This window comes from Homo sapiens, chromosome 11 (assembly GCF_000001405.40).
Source record: "Homo sapiens chromosome 11, GRCh38.p14 Primary Assembly".
NCBI classification, from domain to species: Eukaryota; Metazoa; Chordata; class Mammalia; order Primates; family Hominidae; genus Homo; species Homo sapiens.
Window position 1 is genome coordinate 16,985,032 of NC_000011.10, and position 21,568 is coordinate 17,006,599.

The 21,568-nt window shown below is 48.8% G+C and overlaps 1 protein-coding gene across 22 annotated transcripts in view, besides 1 other annotated feature; it reads right to left on the reverse strand.

Moving 5' to 3' along the window:
• Positions 1 to 21,568, reverse strand: part of PLEKHA7 (pleckstrin homology domain containing A7) — a 237,118-nt gene that overhangs the window by 207,735 nt on the left and 7,815 nt on the right. The gene's annotated exons all lie outside the window — the stretch shown is intronic.
• Positions 1,424 to 1,873: an enhancer, noted in NCBI's record as "active region_4483". NCBI's record gives its function as "activates an Ori minimal core promoter by ATAC-STARR-seq in GM12878 lymphoblastoid cells {active_cell/tissue: GM12878}" and the evidence as "EXISTENCE:reporter gene assay evidence [ECO:0000049][PMID:35858748]".

Here is a 21,568-nt window from a genome sequence, read left to right on the forward strand (position 1 = left end):
TATCCTATACCATAAGTGTCTTGGGTGCCAGCGGGCTGGGCACCTCCTCACCCTGTCTGCATGTTCTTCTTCCTCAAGGAAGGAAGCCTTCAGAAGCCCTTGAGGCAGATGCCTCTGCCTCATTCATCTAAGAATGCCCAGCACCTGGCCCAGGGTTGGCATGCAGGTGCCCACTACACGTTTATGAATAAACCAACCCACTCCTAGGCACCTAGTTGTGTCCTTACATTTTGATTTCTTTACACATTGCTTTGTGAATTGCTGTTCATTTTACTGAATGTGAGGACAGGCAGAAATTCCAAGTACACTTGCTTCTCAACCTTTTGGCTAATATCAAGTATAGAAATTCCAGATACACAAAACTGAACTAGAATGGACCCTGCCTTGAAGAAATTTACAACAATGTGAGAGAGATGTAGACACAAAAAGGTGTAACATGAAGCAGGACAGTCACGTGAGCAGCAAATGCAGTGCCAAGAGTGCAAGGGGCAAGAGAGCTCTTGGGGTGGGGGTGGGGACAGCCACACACAACAGCTAGACAGCCTAAGAGGGGCAGGGAAGGCGGAACCACTTATCCATCCGTTCATTCCGCATTAACATTTTAAGTTTTCTTGCTTGAAGAAACACTGTGCTTGTTACTTAATACTGTGCTGAGTGCTGGGGACAGATATGTGAATCAATCAAACATAAAGATAATTCACAGGCTAATGAGGGAGAGACAGAGAGACATTACACAGACTAAGGTGATATGTGGCAAGAGAGGATGCTAGCATGCAAGCTCCATGCCCACAGGCACCCTCCTTTTGTTCACTACTGTACTCCTCAGTACAACACTGTCAGGCTCAGAAAAGCTTCTCAGTACATAACAAATGAATGAAAGCACTGCTAACTAAATGAATGAAAGCACAAATGGAGGGATATCACAAACCCTTGATGGCGGGTGGCCACAGATGGCTTCCCAGGTAATGCCTGAGTCTTAAAGGATGCATAGGAATTACCTGGATGGAAGGGGGCATTCCTACAAAAGCAAAGACAAAGAAGCAAGAGAGTGCTACAGCTTATGATGTTGTGGAGTGTGTTCAGGCCAGAGGGGAATGGTGTGCTTTAACAGGACACAGACACAGGAAGAGAAGCCCAAGTCAGGACACCTCTGAAGGCCCTCATCAGGAAGCATATCAGGATGAGGTATTTGGGCCCCTGTAGGGAGAACAGGATGGAGGCAAGAAAACCAGTCGGAACCATCTGCACCGCTGCAGATATGAGTTGGTGACAGTGGGGTCTTTAGGAGGCACCAGAGAAAGGACTAATCACAAGAATCTGTTACAAATCACAGGTGCAAGACCCCATGGAGAAGGGAGGCATCGAATGAGCCCAGACACATTTTGAGTACATAAGAAAAGTGCAGCCCCACCAGAGCCCTCCTGGGAATGCTGCAAAGCTGCTGGGGAGATGCCAGCAGAACCATGTCACACCTTGCCCACAGTCACCAAAGTGGGGACCCTACTGACTGGCTGGAGGCAAGGAGGAAGTCAGGGGAGAGAAACCATAAAAATTGCTCACTATTTATTTCACTTTCACTTTGAGCACACAAGTGGGGAGAAGACGCCCTGGCCCAGGAGTAGAGAAACCTGGCTGGAGTCCCAGCTGTCACCAACAACCTGAGTAACCTTGGGCAGGTGACTTCACCGCTGGGGCTCAGCTTCCCCATCTATAAACCAGAGCTTCCACCATGAGCCCCACCTCTACCAACATCCTGGAAAGGCCCCAATCAGATAAGTATCAGCTCTGCATAGCTTTATGTAGCACCTACTATATGATCTTCCTTGTACCAGGAAGGGAGGCAGGAAAGGGGCAGGCCGAGCCCCTGCCCAGAGAAGGTTTTAACAAGGTGGTCCAAGCAGGTACTGCAGAACACCGGCAAGGGCATTTCCAGCCACATTCTCCAGCCAGTCTTACTGCCCAGCCCAACCCAGCCCAGGGAAGGCGGAGAGGAAGCAGTGAGCTGTTTTACAATCCATCAAATTAATTGCCCCAAATGGGAAATTTGCAGGCCTCCTACAGCCTCCTGTGTATTCCATAATCTCCCATGGCCCTAATCTGCTGAGAAAGAATGTGTGGGCTGTAATCTTTTCAGCCCACTGTTCACAGGGGCAATGCCTTGGAAAAACCTCAGTCCCCACCAGTGATCACTCCCTCCCAACCAAAAGCCTCCCCGACCTCCCATCCCCCACACCCCCCACTGACCTGGTGGCCAGCCAAGGCCTGGCTCCGCCCCCCAGAAGCCAGCTAGGCCAACCTTGGCCTTGACTTTGACCTCGGAAAGGAGACCTGCCCAACCAGCTCCTTTGGTAAATACAACTTTTGCTCCCTCCTTTTCCTCCTTAAGACAGAACAGCCTGGCAGGAGGCAGAACCAGGAGAAATGGCTTCCGAGTAGAGACGCACCCTTGAGGCGTGGTGAAAACAGCCCCAGGTGAGGTGCTGGGCATTGGTTCTAACCTTTGCTTACCCTATCCCTGCTAGGAAACCCACTTCCCATCTCTGGACCTCATCTTCATTTGAGAAATGAAGGGAATGTAAAACAGCCTCCCAGGAACTCCTTACCCCACCCCTTTAAACAAGTTGCTTCTTTGCTTCTGCTGTAACCTTTGCCTGCTCCTTTTCCTGCATAATGAAGCCTCTGTCTAGGCCCAACTCAAATGTCACTTTCCCCACGAAGGCTTCCTGGATCCCTCCCTTCTCAACACCTGTCCCAAACTCTTTCTGCCTCCTACACTCAACTAGCCTTGAGGGCAGAGGATTCTTTTACTCATTGCTACTGTCAGGAAACTCATTTGATAACATATTTCAGAGAGCTCTGGACAAACCTAGGGCCAAAACCTATTTCATTCTCTAAAATACCTGGCATGGCACAGATCCTGGGTCACCACCACTGGGTGAAGTTTTCTCAGACAGTGTGTGGAAGGCCAGGCTCCCTGAAGTTGACTGCACCTGTTAATAACCAGTGTCTGTACCCTCTCTCCTTAACAAAGTGCTTTCCTACTCACTACCTCACCTACAGGGGAAGGACTGATGTGATCCCCTTTCACAGAGAAGGCAAATGTCTTGCCCCAGGTCAGGCAGCTGTAAGGGGCTAAGCCAGGATCCAAACCCAGGTCTCCTAATTCTGGTTCTAACTTTGTGTTCCTCCCACCGTACCTGAGGGAACATGCAAAGCTGAGCCTATTGAGAAGATCTGGGCTTGGAGAGAGATGCAATCTAAACCTCTCCTTAGGGCTGCCCTGGGAGCCACATCCAGAGCAGCCAAGGGACAGTCAGGAACTCTGGGCAGAGGAATGGCAGAAGGCATTTACTCCATACTCTCCACTGCCTTCCTGCCTTCCTTCCTTCTTTCCTTCTTTCCTTCCTTCTTTCTTCCTTTCTTCCTTTCTTTGAGACAGAGTTTCACTCTTGTTGCCCAGGCTGGAGTGCAATGGTGTGATCTCAGCTCACTGCAACCTCTGCCTCCTGGGTTCAAGCGATTCTCCTGCCTCAGCCTCTCAAGTAGCTGGAATTACAGGCACCCACCACCATGCCCAGCTAATTTTTTGTATTTTTAGTAGAGACAAGGTTTCACCATGTTGGCCAGGCTGGTCGAACTCCTGACCTCAGGTCATCCACCCACCTCAGCCTCCCAAGGTGCTGGGATTATGGGCATGAGCCACCGCATCCAGCCCATCCCATGCTTGATTACCTCTGATGATAGTGAACTCACTACATCCCAAATATTTCAGAAGGTATCGTTGTAAACCTGGGGCCAAAACCTTTCTCCCTGTAGCTTTCACAGAGGATGAGACTCTTCTATGTGGCAGCCCTTCAGATATCTGCAGCCAGCCCTCATGTCCCTGTGGGTCTCCTCTTTTCCATGTAAAATACCCCCAGTTCATTCAGCTGTTGCTTGGGAGACAAGGTTTCCAGTGCCCATCACAGTCAACCCTTCAGAAGGACCCCAAATAGCCACATCTTCCTCAAAGGGGTGACCCATGAATGCGCCCCAGTGCTCCATCTGTGATCTCCCCAGAGCAGAGCAGCACCATCACCTCCTGTGTTCTGGGGATGAAACTTCCATTAATGCAGCTTAAAATCAAAACCAAAACCCCTTTGTCCCAGAGCTAATTTCTCAGAGGGCCCTGGCCATGTGGGAGCAAGGACAAAACTCATTCTCTTTACCTTGTTAGAGTGGGAAGAGCAGGAACTCTGGAATCAGACCTGGACTAGAATCCTGGTCCTGTCACTTATTTACTGAGAGACCATAGACAAATTACTCACTCTTTCCAAGTTTCAATTTCCTCAGCTACGAAATGAGCTACAAAATGGAGAAAATTTTTACCTCACTAGATAGATTTGAAGAATAAATGAGCTAAGGTATATAACTACTTAACACAGACCAAGAACTTCCCCAAAGTCAAAGCTGGTAAGTGGCTGGGTTAGGATGACATTCAAACTCAAGCCTGCCACCCTAAAGCTTTGTGACCGTAAGTTCCACACCACAGCTCTACTGCTTTCATGTCACACAGTCCCCACTACACTGCATGTCATCTTTGGTTTATCCATCTCCCCACACTGGACTGTGAATTCCCTGAAGATGTCCTTGTTTTTGTGGCCCCAGGATCTGGCATGGTGCCACCTGGCACAGAGTAGGAGCTAATAAAGGCTGATGAACAAGTGATTATATGAACAAGTCAATTACACTGGCTACAAGAAGACAGGTGCCTCTTTTGGCCCCCCCGCCCCCAATGCCCACATAAGCTTTGTGGCTGTGTACTACACACAGCTCTAATCCCACTACATGGGCTGAGTAGCAAGAAGCATTTATTTCATAAGGGCTTGAAGGGCCGAAGCATGCCAGCACCATCCCCCAAACCTGGACATAGCAATGTTCTGTCTTCCCCATCCACAAAACCTCCAACACTAGAGAGGTTTACTCTCCATTGCTCCTGGAGACTAGAGGCTGAGCTGTATGTACTCAGATAAGCATTGGCTGGGTTGGTCCCTGGTGACACCAAGAAGGCACAGGTCCTGTGTGGAGGAGAGTTGATGCCAGGGTTTCTCCAGAGTTCCTCAGCTCTCTGGGGCTTCATTTAAAACATTCTCTCAAAAAAATAAAAATAAAAATAAATAAATAAATAAAACACCCTCTCTTGCAGTGAGCTGAGATCACGCCACTGCATTCCAGCCTGGGCAACAGAGCAAGACCCTGTCTCAAAAAAAAAAAAAAAAAAAAAAAAAACTTCTCCCTGTTCCCAGGTAATCAGTAATAGGAAAAAGGAAGACACACCTGTTCATACTCAATGGGCCATCTCAAAACCATCCGGGCTCCACCTTATACAGCACTCGTACCTCACCATCTGTGCTACACTTGAGGCTGCACTGTTTCAGTGACAGGAATACCACCGGTCCTTCATGGCCTGCTTATGAGTCCTTCCTTGGAGCCTTTCTCAGTTACTCCTAAGGCTGTGGGGTCCATAAAAGCCTTGTTCCCATCGATTCAGAGCCTTAATTTCCCCATCCCATCAAATGGGCACACCATTATCAACCTCAAGGTTGTAACACTTTAAATTTCAAAGCAGAGCTGAGGGGATTTTAAAAGTTCCCTGGAAATGTGCCTGATGCCAGGTAGTCCTGGGCATTACCAAATACTCGTACTACCTAAGCACTGTGGCTGTGTACCACACACAGGAAGGATTCACTCAACATCAGTTTCTCTCCTTCTGGTCTATCACATCCCAGAGCATTGAGTGAATCCTATTGTTCTGGGCACAGCTTAGCTGCAACTCTACAGGGAGACCCTCAGGAGCATGGATGACATCTCCTCTGGCTACTGCCAGTATCTGTATGGCTCTGAGAACTCAATGGGCATTTGAATATCCCCAATGTTTAGCTGGTAAGCCAACCCATTTTAATTCACTGTTGTCATTGTGGGCAGATGAGATAGAAAATGTCTGTTTTCAGATAATTCCCCAGAAGGGGTGACTGGAAGCTAGTGCAGAGACAAACAAGGATGCCGGTGGTTCCCAAACTGGAGAGGAATCTTTGGGGAGCCCTCAGCCGGAGTACCCAAGGCCCAGCCCTCTGCCCCCGAGACTCCCAGGCTCCCTCAGATGCAGGGAGGGACCTCTCAGCAGCTGATTGGCTTCTCAGGCAGAGTCCCAAAGAGGGAAAATCATAGAGCTCAACTAACCATTTAATAAATTAATTCAATAATTATTTTTTAGGACCTACTTATTCCAACCACTATTCTAGGCACTAGAAGTACAGCCTTGAACAAGACAGGCTCGGTTCCTTGTCTTCATGGAGATGCATTCTAGCAGGGAGAGGAAAACAAATTGAAATATAACATGTCTGAGTCAGGCTGAGAACTCCAAAGAAAAAGAAAGCAGCACCGAGATAATAGAGTGTGCTGGAGAAGAAGAGTCAAGAAATGTCACCCTGAGAAGATGACATCTCAGCAGAGACCTGGAGAAAGTGAGGGAAGATCTGGAGGAAAACAGTCCAGACAGAGGGGACAGCAGTGCAAAGGCCCTAGGCTGGCTGCACTTCACATGTTTGAAAAACAGCAGCAGGGATGGGAGGAAATGAGGCCAGAGAGGTAATGGGGTTGGAGAGGGGACAAGATGACGTGGGCCTCATGGGCCACGAAGGATTCTGGAGTCCACTTTGTATGTGAGATAGGAGCCCACAGATGGTTCGAGCGGAGAGGTGCCATGACCCAACTTCCACCATTAAACAGTCCCTCCAGCTGCTATACTAGCAGACGGGGAGAGAAGCACAAAGACCAATTAGGAGGGAACTGCAGTTGTCCAGGCGGCAGATGACAGTGGCGTGGACTAGGGTGGTAGCAGCGGAGGGCATGAGAATGGTCTGATTCTGGATAAATTTCAAAGCAGGGCAGGGCTGACAGGATTTTAAAAGCTCCCCGGGAATGTGCCTGATGCCAGGTAGTCCTGGGCCTTACCAGATGCTGGTACTGGGTAGGCCAAAGGACAAACTGAATTTGGTCCAGGGACCCCCCCCAGCCTGGGCATGCAGGTCTGGGAGCTGCGTCTCTGCAGAGCTCCAGGCTGAAAGCTACGTGACTCTGTGTGGGAAGGGAGTGGGGGAAGCTCTCAGATCTGACTGGAAAGGGGATTCTCTCAGCAAGACTCACCACCCTGTGCCCCACTCCCCTCGCCACTGAAGGGCTGGGTGGCTCATGGGCAAATTGCTCCCGGCTTTCAAGGGTGGAAGGAGGAACTCCTTCATAAGGAAGCCCGGTGAGGCAGCTTGGTGATATGGGTTCAAGCCCTGGCTCTACTACCTCCTGTCTGTGGTCTCTGGGTCTGGGTCTCAGTCCTACATGGGTAAACAAGAATCATAATATGCCACCTGCAGGATTCTTATGAGGTTTTAAATGAATCAATATGGGCTGGGTGCAGTGGCTCACGCCTGTTATTCCCGGCACCTTGGGAGGCCGAGGCAGGAGGATCACTTGAGGTCAGCAGTTCGAGACCAGCCTGGCCAATGTGGTGAAACCTTGTCTCTACTAAAAATACAAAAATTAGCCAGGTGTGGTGGCACATACCTGTAGTCCCAGCTACATGGGAGGCAGAGGCAGGAGAATCACTTGAACCCAGGAGGCGGAGGTTGTGGTGAGTTGAGATCTCGCCACTGCACTCCAGCCTGGGCAACAGAGCAAGACTCTATCTCAAAAAAAAAAAAAAAAAAGAATTAACCTGGCCAACAGAATCAGAATACACCAACCATTCCTAGTTACAGCCTCCCTGGGCCTCTGTGTCCTCATCTACAAAATGCGAAGAATAACACCTTTTAGGGCTACCATGAGGATTAAAGCAAATAATGTGTAAAAAGTTTTGGTCACAGAAAAGTGCCTCACTGGTTGTGAAATTCCCTCCAGGCCCTTAAGTGATATTTGACGTGCTCTGATTGAATCCTCTTCCATACCAGCACCTCACCCTGCCAACTCTGCCACCTTTCCCTCTGCCCAGCCTGGGAGATAGCCAAGGCGTCAGGGAGACCCTCAGCTCTCTCTCCTCCCTCTGCCACATTCCTATCAGGCTCAGTACCAAGAAACCCTTTCTATGCAAGCCCCTGCAGGTAAATGATCAGCCATAGAAATCAGTTCCAAAGGCCTCAGAGAAATCAGGAGATACCAAAGGAAAATAAGGCAGTAGGCCAAAAAGAAAAGTGAATACCTTCTTCACTTTTCCTCTTTCCTACTATCTCTGGATGGACTTAAGGAAGGGGCTGGGTCGGGGCGGGCAGAGTGGGGGGCAGGCAGGAAACAATTCCTGCAGGTTCAGCAAAAGTCCCTGGCAGTTTTAAACATGTCCTCTGGCTCTACTCAACCAGAAACAACCAGCACCCATGGGTCATTCACAGAGATCCCAGCTCTCTCAGTTCCTGTGGCTCTCCTTGCTGGCAGAGTCATTGTGAAGAGCCACTGAGCATACAGTAGGCACTAGATAAATGGTGGTTACGTGAGTATAGAAATGAGCCAGGGACACTGTTTCCTTTCTTGTCTCTGGGCAACCTCCTGACACTAGATTGCAGACCATAAAAACTGCCCCAGCTGCAATGGTCTCAAATGGTTCCACTTGACATGCTTGCAAACATCAACACTCTGTCATACCCACAACCTCAGTTAAAGTTTAAAAGCCCTGCACAAGGACCTTTGGCAAGCCCTGTATATAAATGATCAGCCACAGAAATAAATCCCAAAGCCCTCAGAGAAATCAGGAGAGACCAAAGGAAAATAAGGCAATAGGCCAAAGAGAAAAGTGAAAGCCATCTCCATTTTCCCTCTTGCCTACTGTGTCTGGGTAGATTTAAGGAAGGGGGAGGAAACAAGGAGGTGCAAGGTGTTAGTATCAGATAATTATCTATGGCAGATAATTAAGTCCATGAGTAATTATGGTAAACTGTGGGGAACACAAGCTTAAGTATAAAGTAGATGTTTCCTCAAAGTCCTCTTCAACTGGGGACGATACACACATCAGTTTTATCAGCTTGAATTCACGGTCTTTCCCTATGGCCCCTACACCTGCCCCTAGAAGCACCAAGCACACAGGCCTGGAAGTCAGTCTTTCTCTGTCAGTAGGGTCAAGGCCACCAGGTGACAGGACTTCTGTGCACTGTGCAAAGCTGCGAGGAGGGCCAAGGTGTGGCAAGCAAGGTGGCCCTCAGCAGATGCCCCTTAGGAGGCCCTGGTGTCTGAGTGGAAGTGAGGGCTACCTGGAGTTGCAGTTCCAGGGGTCAGTTTTTAACTAGGTCCCCCAGGGACACTAATCACCCACTCTCTTCATCCCTTCTATTTTACAGCAGGAGTGCTGCCAGGCAGTAGTGGGGGCCACCTGCTTTCTCCTTGTTTGGAGGCCAACCCTCACCTGCTGCAGGGGAGCTCTCACTGGTGCCAACCTATGTCCAGCCCCACCCCTGCGGACATAGGTGGGGGCTGGAGTCTGAGTGAACACCAACCAGCATATTCCACCTTCCTCCCGTACAGCCTCAGAGGGCCCGGTCACAGCCCTGCTGGGACCCCTCCCTGGATCCTCTGAGAGGCCCATTCTGCAGGATCCTCTCTTCCAGTGTCCTAGAACACGACAGGCTCTCCTGGTTCTGCCTGTGCTATCCCTCTCCCAAAAACATCCAGACTCCCTTCTGTCAACCAACAAATCCCTGCTTGTTTCTCAAGATCCAGCTCGGGCTCTCCAACCCCAAGCCTCCCCTGGCCAGCCCTCCTCTGTGCCCCACCAGGCCCCATGCTTCCCTTCTCAAAGCATTTGCACAGTATCCTCTGGTCATTGACATGGCTGTGTCCCCACCAGAGCACAGGCTCCTGGGCTCCTTGAGGACACCAGTGTTGCTTTGATTCATTAACTGAGTGCCTACTATGTACAAGATGTATTCTACAGCAGTGAACACAACAGACAAAATGCCTGTCATGGAGCTAATATTCCAGTGACAATAAATATCCTACACACAGTAGTACTTTCTATATTCAAGACTATTCTGAGTACTTCCTATTAACTCATTTAATCCCTGCCACAATTATTACCATCCCCATTTTTCAGATGAGGAAACAGGCTCCAGAGTACACAACCTGCTCAGGATCACACCACAAGCTAGTCAGTGGCAGGGCTGGGATTCAAGCCGAGGCAACCACATAGCAGACCATGCTCCTGAGCACTGGGCCACTCTGGCTTTCAATGCTCTTTTCTCTACTCTGCTTCACTCTTGTTGGTATCTACTGTGCCCAGGCCAGTGCTTGGCACACATCCAGTGCTCAGTGAATGTCTGCTAAATGAAGGGACCCCTGAACAATGAGTGCCGGTCCCCTGCCTACAACACCCACACTGTCTCTCGTCCCCGCCCAATCCCAGTTCACAAGACCCCTGCACACACACCAAGTCTTCTGAGACTCATCCAGCCCCTGAACTGCTCCCTCCTGAGTGTTACTCTCCATGTAGCACCTGCACTATTATCCTGACAGTTAGTCACATGCCACCTGACCATCCTATCGCCTGAAGCATGTGGACATTTGCTTTGCCGGCTCCCTGATATCCCCCAGAGTATAACAAATATGATGTCAGGTAAATGGACTTAAAATTCAAAACTGAATCTGACCTCCCCTCTCCAGTCCTCCATCATCACTGGAGCTTTTTCTTCCTCTGCCCAGAGGAAGCAAGGCATGTCTCGAATCAAAAATAACCTTTGCTACAACTATATCCAGATTGCCTAAACCTATAAGCTATAACAGCCAAGGTCGTAATTAGGATGCAGGTGTGGTTAAAAACCACACGTAAAATTGGACATTTTAAAACCTTAGTTAAACCTATCAGGATGTTCATTGCCCTCCCTTAGAAAATGCCCAAAACTGAGAATCTGAGCTAACTGGACAGTATACACAGGTACGCTCTGTGTATATCAGAGTCCCTGCAGAAGTCAAGAAATTACCTAAATACATTTGGCCCACCATAGCCATTATAGAGAAAAGACAAAATATCTGCTGTTCATGGAAATAAATTATAAAATCTGTTGAACCATACTATGTTCTGGAGACTAAGTAGTTTACGTGTATTATTCTCATTTAATCTCTGCAAAAGACCTAAGGGGCAGATACCGGCATTTACCTCATTTTACAGAGGTTACATAACCTGGCAGAGTTCCATAGCCATGAAGTCTGGCTCCAAGCCTGTGTGCTCACCCATGACCCCATAGCTGCCCTATTTCAAGTCAGGAGTGAGAACAGCTGAACTGTGAGGGAGGCCAAGTCTGGTCAAAGGCCCTCAACATGGAGACAGTAGACTCTCAGGGGGGTGGTCCCTCCACCTATCCCATCTGAGAACCACACAGCAGGCAGGCAGGACTTCTCAGTGGAAAAGACCTATAACGTAGCCCCTGACAGCCTTGGGAATACAGGCCTGAGGTCACACCCAGTTCCAGAAAGGTTTCAGGTACACAGGGATGGGAGAGCCGGGAAATGCTTATAACCTGCAGGAAGGAAGTCAACAGCTTACGGTCCTCAGCCAGGACTGAGTTTCCTGTGCTGCAGAATGCTTCACATAACTTAAAAGCTGAATCTCAGAGGCCGGGCGCAGTGGCTCATGCCTGTAATCCCAGCACTTTGGGAGGCCGAGGCGGGCGGATCACGAGGTCACGAGATCGAGACCATCCTGGCTAACACGGTGAAACCCCGTCTCTACTAAAAATACAAAAAATTAGCTGGGCATGGTGGTGGTCGCCTGTGGTCCCAGCTACTCAGGAGGCTGAGGCAGGAGAATGGCGTGAACCTGGGAGGCAGAGCTTGCAGTGAGCCAAGATCGTGCCACTGCACTCCAGCCTGGGTGACACAGCAAGACTCCGTCTCAAAAAAAAAAAAAGTTGAATCTCAGAGTGGTTCTCTACCCTGTGGGTATCAGCTTCAAGTTCAGCCAGGTCCCAGCCTGGAGCTACCAGGCCCAAGCAAGCCCTTTTTCTGCCTCACACAGCATGGACTGATTTGTGGACACATCAGGACTGAGTGGAGTCCCCTGCCCCAAGGCTGTGCTTCTGGGCCAAGGTCATTTCTGTATTCACCCCAGGTCACCACTGCTCCCATCACCACCCCTCTAACAATACCCCTGAGGTGCCTATAGGGACTTCAGAGAGAAAAGCCTCCAATCTTCTCTCTGCTCCACCCCATAGTCTACCTCCTCCTCCTCCCATCAGAAATGTCCATGGACAAGGAGGTGAGCAATGACCCCAGAGTCTTCAGGAAAGCATTAGAGTGAGGTTTTCATGCTGAGTCTCAAAATGCCAAACCCTTCCACTGTGAAGAAGAGCCCATTTTCCCAATATTCTCTTAACTTTGTCTGAGTGGGGCTAGGGTGGGGGTTCCATCTCTAGAGGGAGTCAAGTCCAAAACAAAGACCGGCAATCTGTCTCCTCTCTCAGACCCCAGAAACAGGAGGGAGAATGCAGCTAACCAGACAGTGACTTCCTTCACTCACCTGGCACTCGATGGGCAGGAGGCAAGATAGCAAGACCCCAAAGCCTGCCTCAGCTAGCCTCTGAGCTCCAGGTCTCTGAGCCCCAGCACAGCCTATACCCTCCCTCAGGGGCTCTCTGCAACACCTGGGGGCTTCTCTACAGGTGCATGTGCTGGGGGGAGAGGTGACAATTCCTACTAAACCCAAAAGGGGTTGCTGACTCGACAGAAGGCCGCATGCAGTTTGCTTCCAGTGAGTCCCAGACTAACAGCCCTGGCTACACCCTCTCTTCCCTCACCATGCCCATGGACTCTGACCTGTGCGAAGCTCGAGTGTCTTCCTGAAATAAACTGGAGCAGTCTCCACGGCACAGCCTGTCACAGAACATGGTGGAGACAGGCCAAGCTGGACAGAGAGAGACTATGAGAACCCCAGATAGGGAACGCTGGGTGACCCCAGCTCTGCCGCCTTACACCTGTGCATCCAATTACTGGACTCAACCTCCCTGAGCCTCAGTTTCCCCATCTGTAAAATGAGGATGATAACCGTACCTACCTTATAAGGTTGGCATGAGGATTAAAGGAGGCTGTGTCTGTGAAGCCCTTAGAACAGTGTACGTGTGAACAGTGTCAGTACCAGATAAACATTTGTAAAATAAACAAATAAGTAGAAGCCATTGGCTTCTCAGTGTGAGAGCCTCACAGCCCCACCCCTCAGCTCACTAGCACCCTTGAACTGAGCAAAACCCAACACGAACCTTCAGGAAAAAAACAAACAAACAAACTCTCAAACCTTTCCACTGACTCAAGGAGGCAATCAGCACCAACCAAGACCTCCCTCCCCAAGGAGCAACCTGGAAAGGCCTGGCAAGATTACCCCACAATTCTTACATCGTATGTCACTAGGCTCCTCAGACACATGCGGCTTTTGGAGTAAAGAGTGTACTTGGGGTTCTAATTTAAATATCTATGTATTCACAGAACAGGAAGCCAATTACTTTCCTTTCCCCAAAAGAATTAATATCCCCTCTGAATTTTCAAAACCATCCAGTGCCAAACACACAAACACGTCTACACATTTTCAGGTGAGAAGGGCTGGAAAAGTTGAAGCAAAAACCGACTGAGCTCTCTTCAGCTCCCATCTACACACCAAAGCTAAAAAAAATATTCAAAACCTCCATAAGTGGATATAATTTCAAGTACCACCAATTACATCTAGAAATGCATTAAGGGGTACAGTTATTATAGATATTTAGCTTCATAGCATTCAACCATATTTTTTTAAATCCCCAGGTCAAAATGTGTTGAAAAAAAAAAATCTTGCCAAACACTTTCTTTGGTGGGTAGGAAATCATTTCTCTTCCCTGGGACTCTGACCACTGACTTATCCCCCTCCTCCCAGCCTCACCATACAATCCCCCACTCACTCCCAACTCCAACCAGCCCTCTATCCTCGTATATCTGCAATTTCAGGAGGGTAATGGCAAATGTCAAATCAACCAACACACACCTATTTGGCTGAGCACTGTCTCTGTGCCTGACACTGTCCCCAGGGAGTTGGGGAGCTCTTCATGGCAACTGAGTCACAATCCTGGCCCTGCCCCATTCCCCCAGGACCAGCTCAGGGACAACTGCAATGTCAGACATCTCTATGACTTGCTCATCACTGCCACTGTCTGCCGGGACACATGTATTCTCCCACACAGAGGAAGCCTTCCCACTTCTCAGCTTAATTGCCTTCTGCTTGCCTTCTCTGGCTATTAATGTCAATCACTCAGAACAACTTGTCACCCCAGGCCCTCCTCTGCCTGCAGGATCTCTAAGTGGTCACGGGGTTCCAAGATGTGGAGCTGCACACCTACCCCCAGGCAGACATAGGCCTCATTCAGTGGTCACTCACAAGCTCAGTCCCACCATTTCTAACTGGGACTGACAGCATCATCTCAGCAGAGGTGAAGGCAGCACATTCCCAACCCACACTGAGAAAACCAGAGGCTCCCCAGGAACCTGGCTTCCCAGGCTCCCTCCTGGGTAACGGGGTGTACATTCAGACAGCTGTACCCCACTGATACTCTCTCAAAGCCTTTTGCACAGCTTAACCCAATGACTTTAGACAGATGTTCTTCTACAAGGAAAGAGACTCACAATGCCTGAGCACCTATCATGTGCTGAATAGCATGGTAGGAGCTTCAGACAGGCTATCGCATTTCATTCTTAAATAACACTAGGGAGAAAAATATATCATTATTCTAGAGACAGAGAAGCTGAAGCTCAGAGATGCTTCTACTTTCAGTGTCCATAAGAATCACCTGTGGAGCTTGTGATAAATGCTGACTCCCAGCCCCACCCCACAGAAGCTCTAATTCATGTCTACCCTCACTGCCCCTTACCAATCCTCTAATACAGACACCAGGGTTACTGCCTCCCCACAAAAGAACCAGATGCAAACCCTAATACTCACATGTGGGAATCCTCTCCACTGGAGGGGGGATATGGACAGGGAGTATAAATCAAATGTGTCAATCAATGGTAAGTACAAGAAACCTGTCTTTGTTTTTGTTTTTTTGAGACAGAGTCTCACTCTGTCACCCAGACTGAAGTGCAGTGGTGGAATCTCGGCTCACTGTAACCTCTGTCTCCCAGGTTCATGCAATTCTCGTGCCTCAGCCTCCCGAGTGGCTGGAATTAACAGGCATGCATCACCATACCCAACTAATTTTTTTTGTTTTTGTATTTTTAGTAGAGATGGGGTTTCACCATATTGGCCAGGCTGGTCTTGAACTCTTGACCTCAAGTGATCCACCTGCCTCAGCCTCCCAAAGTGCTCGGATTACAGGCATGAGCCATGACACTCCTCAAGAAACCTGTTCATCTTCTCTCTGGTTGGACACAGCCACACAGGGCTTCTGAGATGAGAAATAGTTTCTTTGACATTTGGCACCAATCATTTACTGCCCAGCTTCCTTTTAAAGACAAGTCTCAACAAGGAAGCACAATTCTTTCTCCCTCTGGCTAGCCTGACCTTAGGAGATCTCCCCAAAGAGAACCAACCACAGCTCCTCTGCCAACCAGGCCACATTTCACCTTAGGAAGGGGCTTCCTTCATAGGAGTAGTAGTGATAATGGCTAATTCCTATATAGCATGTACAAGTTGCCAGATACCATTCTAAGTTGATAGGTACAGTCATTGTCCCCATCTTACAGATGAAGAAACATCTAAAGACACAGAGAGGTTCAAGTGACCTGCCAAAGCTAAAAGCAGAGTGAGGATTTCAACCCAGGCACTCTGATCCCAGAATCCATGTTTTGTAAACACCATGTGGCACCACCCTATAGACAAAGGAATTCAGGGAGCCCTCTAGGGCATAGCTCCCATACACCACACTCCTGCAGCCAAGCTACTAGTGAAGGATTTTATCTAAGGTCTGTCCCTACTCCTCAACTCAGCACTAACCTCTCTGAGACCCAAACAGGCACACAGGTACCATGGCCCTCACCCCTAATCCCCAGCTCCTTCACATTTTCTGCATTGGTCTCTCCTGCCTTGGGCTGCTCACTGCTCTGCTCCATGGCTGCCTGGCCTTCCTTGGTCACCCTCCGAAGCTCCCCAGCCCCAGGCACCCATATTGGAACTGTCCAGCATTCCTCTCCTGTCTTGGACTGGGCACTGCTGGAGGGCAGAAACAGTGAGCTTCATTTCTCTCCCCAGCACCGAGTGTCTGGCATAGAGTAGCTGCTTAATTGGAGTCTGGTGACTGAACAGATAATTCCTTGATCAAAAGCCAACCAGCCTCCAATTAAACTGCTCCTCTAATAAGCTGCCCACCACCCCTCAAGATGGCCAACTCATTCCATCTGTGGACAGGCACAGACAGCTCAATTTGCAAGTGGAGAAGATATGATTGTTGCAAAGGTGAGTGAACGAACCTAAACCATTGCTCTGGCTCCCCTCTTCCGAGACGAGGACAAGCTCATCTCCCGCCTCACCCAGCGGGAGAGAACACAGGAAGCTGTGCAGCCAGTGGCCTTGGTACAGGGCTGGAATGGGATCTCTGGCCCCTCCATCCCCCAAGCATGCTGCTCCCCTTCCCTGCACCATAGAGTGTGATGTAGGAAGTCACGAGAGGTAGCCAGCAGCCCCAGGAAGAGACTGCACACTAACTCCAAGCTACAAGAGGTAGCCAGCAGCCCCAGGAAGAGACTGCACACTAACTCCAAGCTACAAGAGGTAGCCAGCAGCCCCAGGAAGAGACTGCACACTAACTCCAAGCTACAAGAGGTAGCCAGCAGCCCCAGGAAGAGACTGCACACTAACTCCAAGCTGTGAGACCTCAAGAGGGCGAGGCTCTGTCTTGGCAAAAAAGCCCCTGAGAAACCCTGAGAAAATTGGCTGTGATATTGGAAATGCTCTTCTGGCAGGACCTGAAAGAGACAGCCTGGCTCTAAGCAGGCTTAAGAAGCTCATAGGCCCCTAAGCTAAGGTCAGCTGACATCTGTGGCGGGAGAGGGTGCCTCTCCAGCTTGAGGAGGTCCACTTCCCAGAGCACCAGCGACTGGCTCACAGTTCTGTGTGGGGACTATGCACCATCCATCACTCTTCTACCCTGCCTTTCTGAGGGAGGCCCAAGGGGGCTTCTGCCTCACAGTCATCAGGGAAGGTGCAGGCAGAGAACTGCTTCTGAGGGATAACCCTAGAGGGAGGAATCAGTAGAGAGGGAGTTAGCTGGGCATGGCAGTGCACGCCTGTAGTCGCAGCTACTCAGGAGGCTGAGGCGGGGGCATTGCTTGAGCCCAGGAGTTTGAAGTTACAGTGAGCTGAGATGGTACCACTGCACCCCAGCCTGGGCAACAGAACAAAACCTCAACACTTAAAGAAAAAAAAAAAAGGAACAGAAAGAGTGATGATGAGAGCCACAAGGCACCATGTACCACGTAGAAACTGCATAGAATTTGGAGCCAAGAAGACTTCGGTTCAAGTCTTAAACCCCTCGGTGATGCTGGGGCCTTGGGAAGATCTATTAACCACCACTCCCTGCCCCCATCAGCCTCAAATGCCTGATCTGTAAAATGAGGACAATCAAAATATCTGCCTCTACAACAAATGCATTTTTCAACTAGAAAGCACCACGAAGATTATTATTGTTGACACCTGTGACGTGAGACGTGCCAGACAATGCATTTGTCCTTTAGTGGTCAGAGCCGATAACCAGGTGGCTGCACAGATTAAGAAGCAGACATCTGTGCAGACTTCTAACTGCCCAGTAAAGAGGTAAACCAGGGGCCACTCCTAACTCAGACTCACCCACTGTTAATATTTTGTCCCATTTGCTCTGTCATCCACTCCTTCCCCCCAACACAATTTTCCCCCACACCACTTAACTACTTAAGAGCAAATAACCTCAGTGTGTATTTCCAAGAATAAGGACATCCTTTAAGTACCAGAATAGTTGTGCCTTTTTTTTTTTTTTTTTTTTGTGATGGAGTTTCGCTCTTGTTGCCTAGGCTGGCATGCAATGGCGCAATTTCGGCTCACTGCAACCTCTGCCTCCCGTTCAAGCGATTCTCCTGCCTCAGTCTCCTGAGTAACTGGGATTACAGGCATGCGCCACAGTGCCCGGCTAATTTTGATATTTTTAGTAGAGATGGGGTTTCTCCATGTTGGTCAGGCTGGTCTCGAACTCCTGACCTCAGGTGATCCGCCCACTTTGGCATCCCAAAGTGCTGGGATTACACATGTGAGCCACCACACCCAGCCCAAGGTTGTGCAGTTTTTATTGGTCCAAACCAATTTCTGAGTTGAGTTCTACAGTTTGCATGCCCCTGACTCCGGCAATCCTAGTTCAAGGGCACCAGACTTCTGCAGCCAATGAATGCAATTAGGACTCAGAAGTCATGTCTTCACCCTGCCCCATAGCTGTGTGGATGTACAGAAGAGGAGCTCACATTTATTGGGCATTTACAATGTGCCAGTAAACGTGGCACTACTACTTGCTAAACCCTTTCCATCCATCAATTAACTCACATAATCCTCACATTTAACCCCATTTTACTGGTGAGGAAGTGAGGCTTAAAGAGAGCAGGTAACCTGCCAAGGTCAGGGAGCTGTATGTGGTGGAGGTGAATTAGAGTCTAGGTAGTCTGACTCCAAAGTCCACACACTTGGATACCGTCTCTTTACACATGCTGTCACCCACATCAAAAGCCCTTTTCATACATTTTTCTGCATGATGAAGTTGCCTAGCTGTGCTTTGGGCTTCAACAAAAACCAACCCTGCTGCCCAGGCCAGTATCCTGAAGAGGGCTGGATGAGACAGAGAAGTGATCCGGCACAACTCACAACTCAGTACAAGCAAAAGACAATCCAAGGTTACCACAACTGCTGATACTTTCCTTAAGTCCTCCTGTACATCCTGTTTGGAGATGTAGGGCCCAGAGAGGCTGAAAAGCCAACAAGGAGTCTCTCCGCACTCCTCTGTCACCTAAGACTGAACAGGGGGAACTCGCATTCCTCTGCCGGTACACATTTCTATTTAGAACACAAAGCAATAAACATGATGCATCTGGCCGAAGAATTGATTTGAAAGGAAGATATAAGAAAGGATTACATAATAAATTAAATTGAGGGTAAAGTCTCAATTAATTTTAGTCTGTCAATGAGTTTTTGGACAGAACCAACATTTAATGGCACTTCCTGCATCCAGTCTCCTAGGTGAGTTGGCCTTCATTCTGTTCTGCCATTAGACCTATGGCTGAAATGTCTGAGAAGCCTGGATATGAGGAACAATATGTCCAGGCCTCTCCCTTGAACTTTGAAGAAGCTGAGCTAATGCAGTATACACCTTTTTTTTCCTTTTTCTTTTTCTTTTTTTTTTTTAAGACACTGTTTCACTCTTGTCGCCCAGGCTGGAGTGCAATGGCGCAATCTCAGTTCACTGTAACCTCTGCCTCCTGGGTTCAAGTGATTCTCCTACCTCAGCCTCCCGAGTAGCTGGGATTACAGGCACGCACCACCATACCCAGCTAATTTTTGTATTTTTAGTAGAGATGAGGTTTCACCACATTGGCCAAGCTTGTCTTAAACTTCTGACCTCAGGTGATCTGCCCACCTCGGCCTCCCAAAGTGCTGGGATTACAAGCATGAGTCACCATGCCCAGCCCAGTATACAACTTTAGAGAAGTCACTTTACCCCTCTGAGCCCAAATTCCCGCACTAAAAAAATGCAATAATTATGGGACAAACCAGAGAATGTTCGTGAAATACTCTGTAAATGATAAAACATTAACTCAAAATATTTCTCATTTCAGAAAATTGAAAAGCAAATGTTTTGACAGCCATTTAAAAACAACAGGCAAATACAACCATATTCCTCCGTGTTTTTCCCTCTGCCAATATTTACTTAAGATACCTGCCAGTTTGCTGAGATGATGCTGTCTTACACTGAGCAAAGAGATTCAAACCTGTGCTGTCCTCTGAAGATAGAAAACAAGAGCAGGTACCTCACTGAATTGCCAAATATTCCACATATTGAGGCTGAAAAGCCAACAAGCAGTCTTCCTACAGCCCTCTGTCACCTCAGACTTAACGGGGGGGGTAAACTGGCATCTCCCTGCCCCTGCACACGTTTCTGTTTAAAGTGCTGTCTTAATTTTTTTCCAAAGTTCTCAATTTAGGAAGCACCAAATTTACTCCCATAGACATCAAAAGAGAATGGAGGCTGGGCCCGGTGGCCCACGCCTGTAATCCCAGCACTTCCAGGAGGCCAAGGTGGGCAGATTACTTGAGGTCAGGAGTTTGAGACCAGCCTGGCCAACATGGTGAAACCCCGTCTCTACTAAAGATACAAAAATTAGCCAGGCGTGGTGGTGGGTGTCTGTAATCCCAGCTACCCAGGAGGCTGAGGCAAGAGAATTGCTTGAACCCAGGAGGCAGAGGTTGCAGTGAGCTGAGATCATGCCACTGCAGTCTAGCCTAGGTGACAGAGCAAAACTCTGTCTCAAAACAAAAAAAGAAAGAGAGAGAGAGAGAATGGAGAGGGTGCCATCAAGGCACAAGAAACCTACACCCACCCTCATCACATGAAAACACCTCTTCCCAACCCAGCATCTGTCCTATCTCTAAAACACACTCCTCTCATGGGTAAAGAGCCTTAAAAAGCAACTTGCAACCATTTTTCTTAAAGACGTTTCCTTAAAGAAGTTTCTTTTTGGAGATGTGGTATAAATCATGGCTCCTAATCCTTCCTTTCGCTTTCTAAACAACACTCACTGTTTTTCCTTTCCCACAGAACCTAACGTTTAAATCCATGAACCAGTTTTTACCCTTGAAAATGCAACCAGGAAGTGAAATATAAAGCATGGGATTCTGCCAAAACTTGCCAAGCTGGGAAAACCTTTCTTAACCTTCAATGAGGGGGTTCAGAATTTCTATTTTAGTATATATGTAAGCTGCTAGTTTCCCAGAAATTCTTTGTGGGACTATTACCCCCAGGTTTGAAATAAAGTTTCTGGGACTGCTGTTCCCAGCAACATCTCAATAAGAAGGATGACAAATAAGGCTGGGCATGGTGGCTCATGCCTGTAATCCCAGCACTTTAGGAAGCCAAGGCGGGTGGACAGCCTGAGGTCAGGAGTTCAAGACCAGCCTGACCAACATGTGAAACCCCGTCTCTACTAAATTACCCGGGCATGGTGGTGGGCGCCTGTAACACCAGCTACAAGGGAAGCGGAGGTTGCAGTGAGCCGAGATCACACCACTGCACTCCAGCCTGGGCAACAAGAATGAAACTCCATCTAAAAAAAAAAAAAAAACGTCCAGGCACGGTGGCTCACACCTGTAATCCTAGCACTCTGGGAGGCCAAGGCAGGCGGATTGCCTGAGGTTAGGAGTTCAAGGCCAGCTTGGCTAACATGGTGAAACCCCATCTGTACTAAAAATACAAAAAAATAGCCAGGCATGGTGGCGCATGCCTGTAGTCCCAGCTACTCAGGAGGCTGAGGTGGAAGAATCGCTTGAACCCGGGAAGCAGAGGTGCAGTGAGCCGAGATGCCGCCACTGCACTCCAGC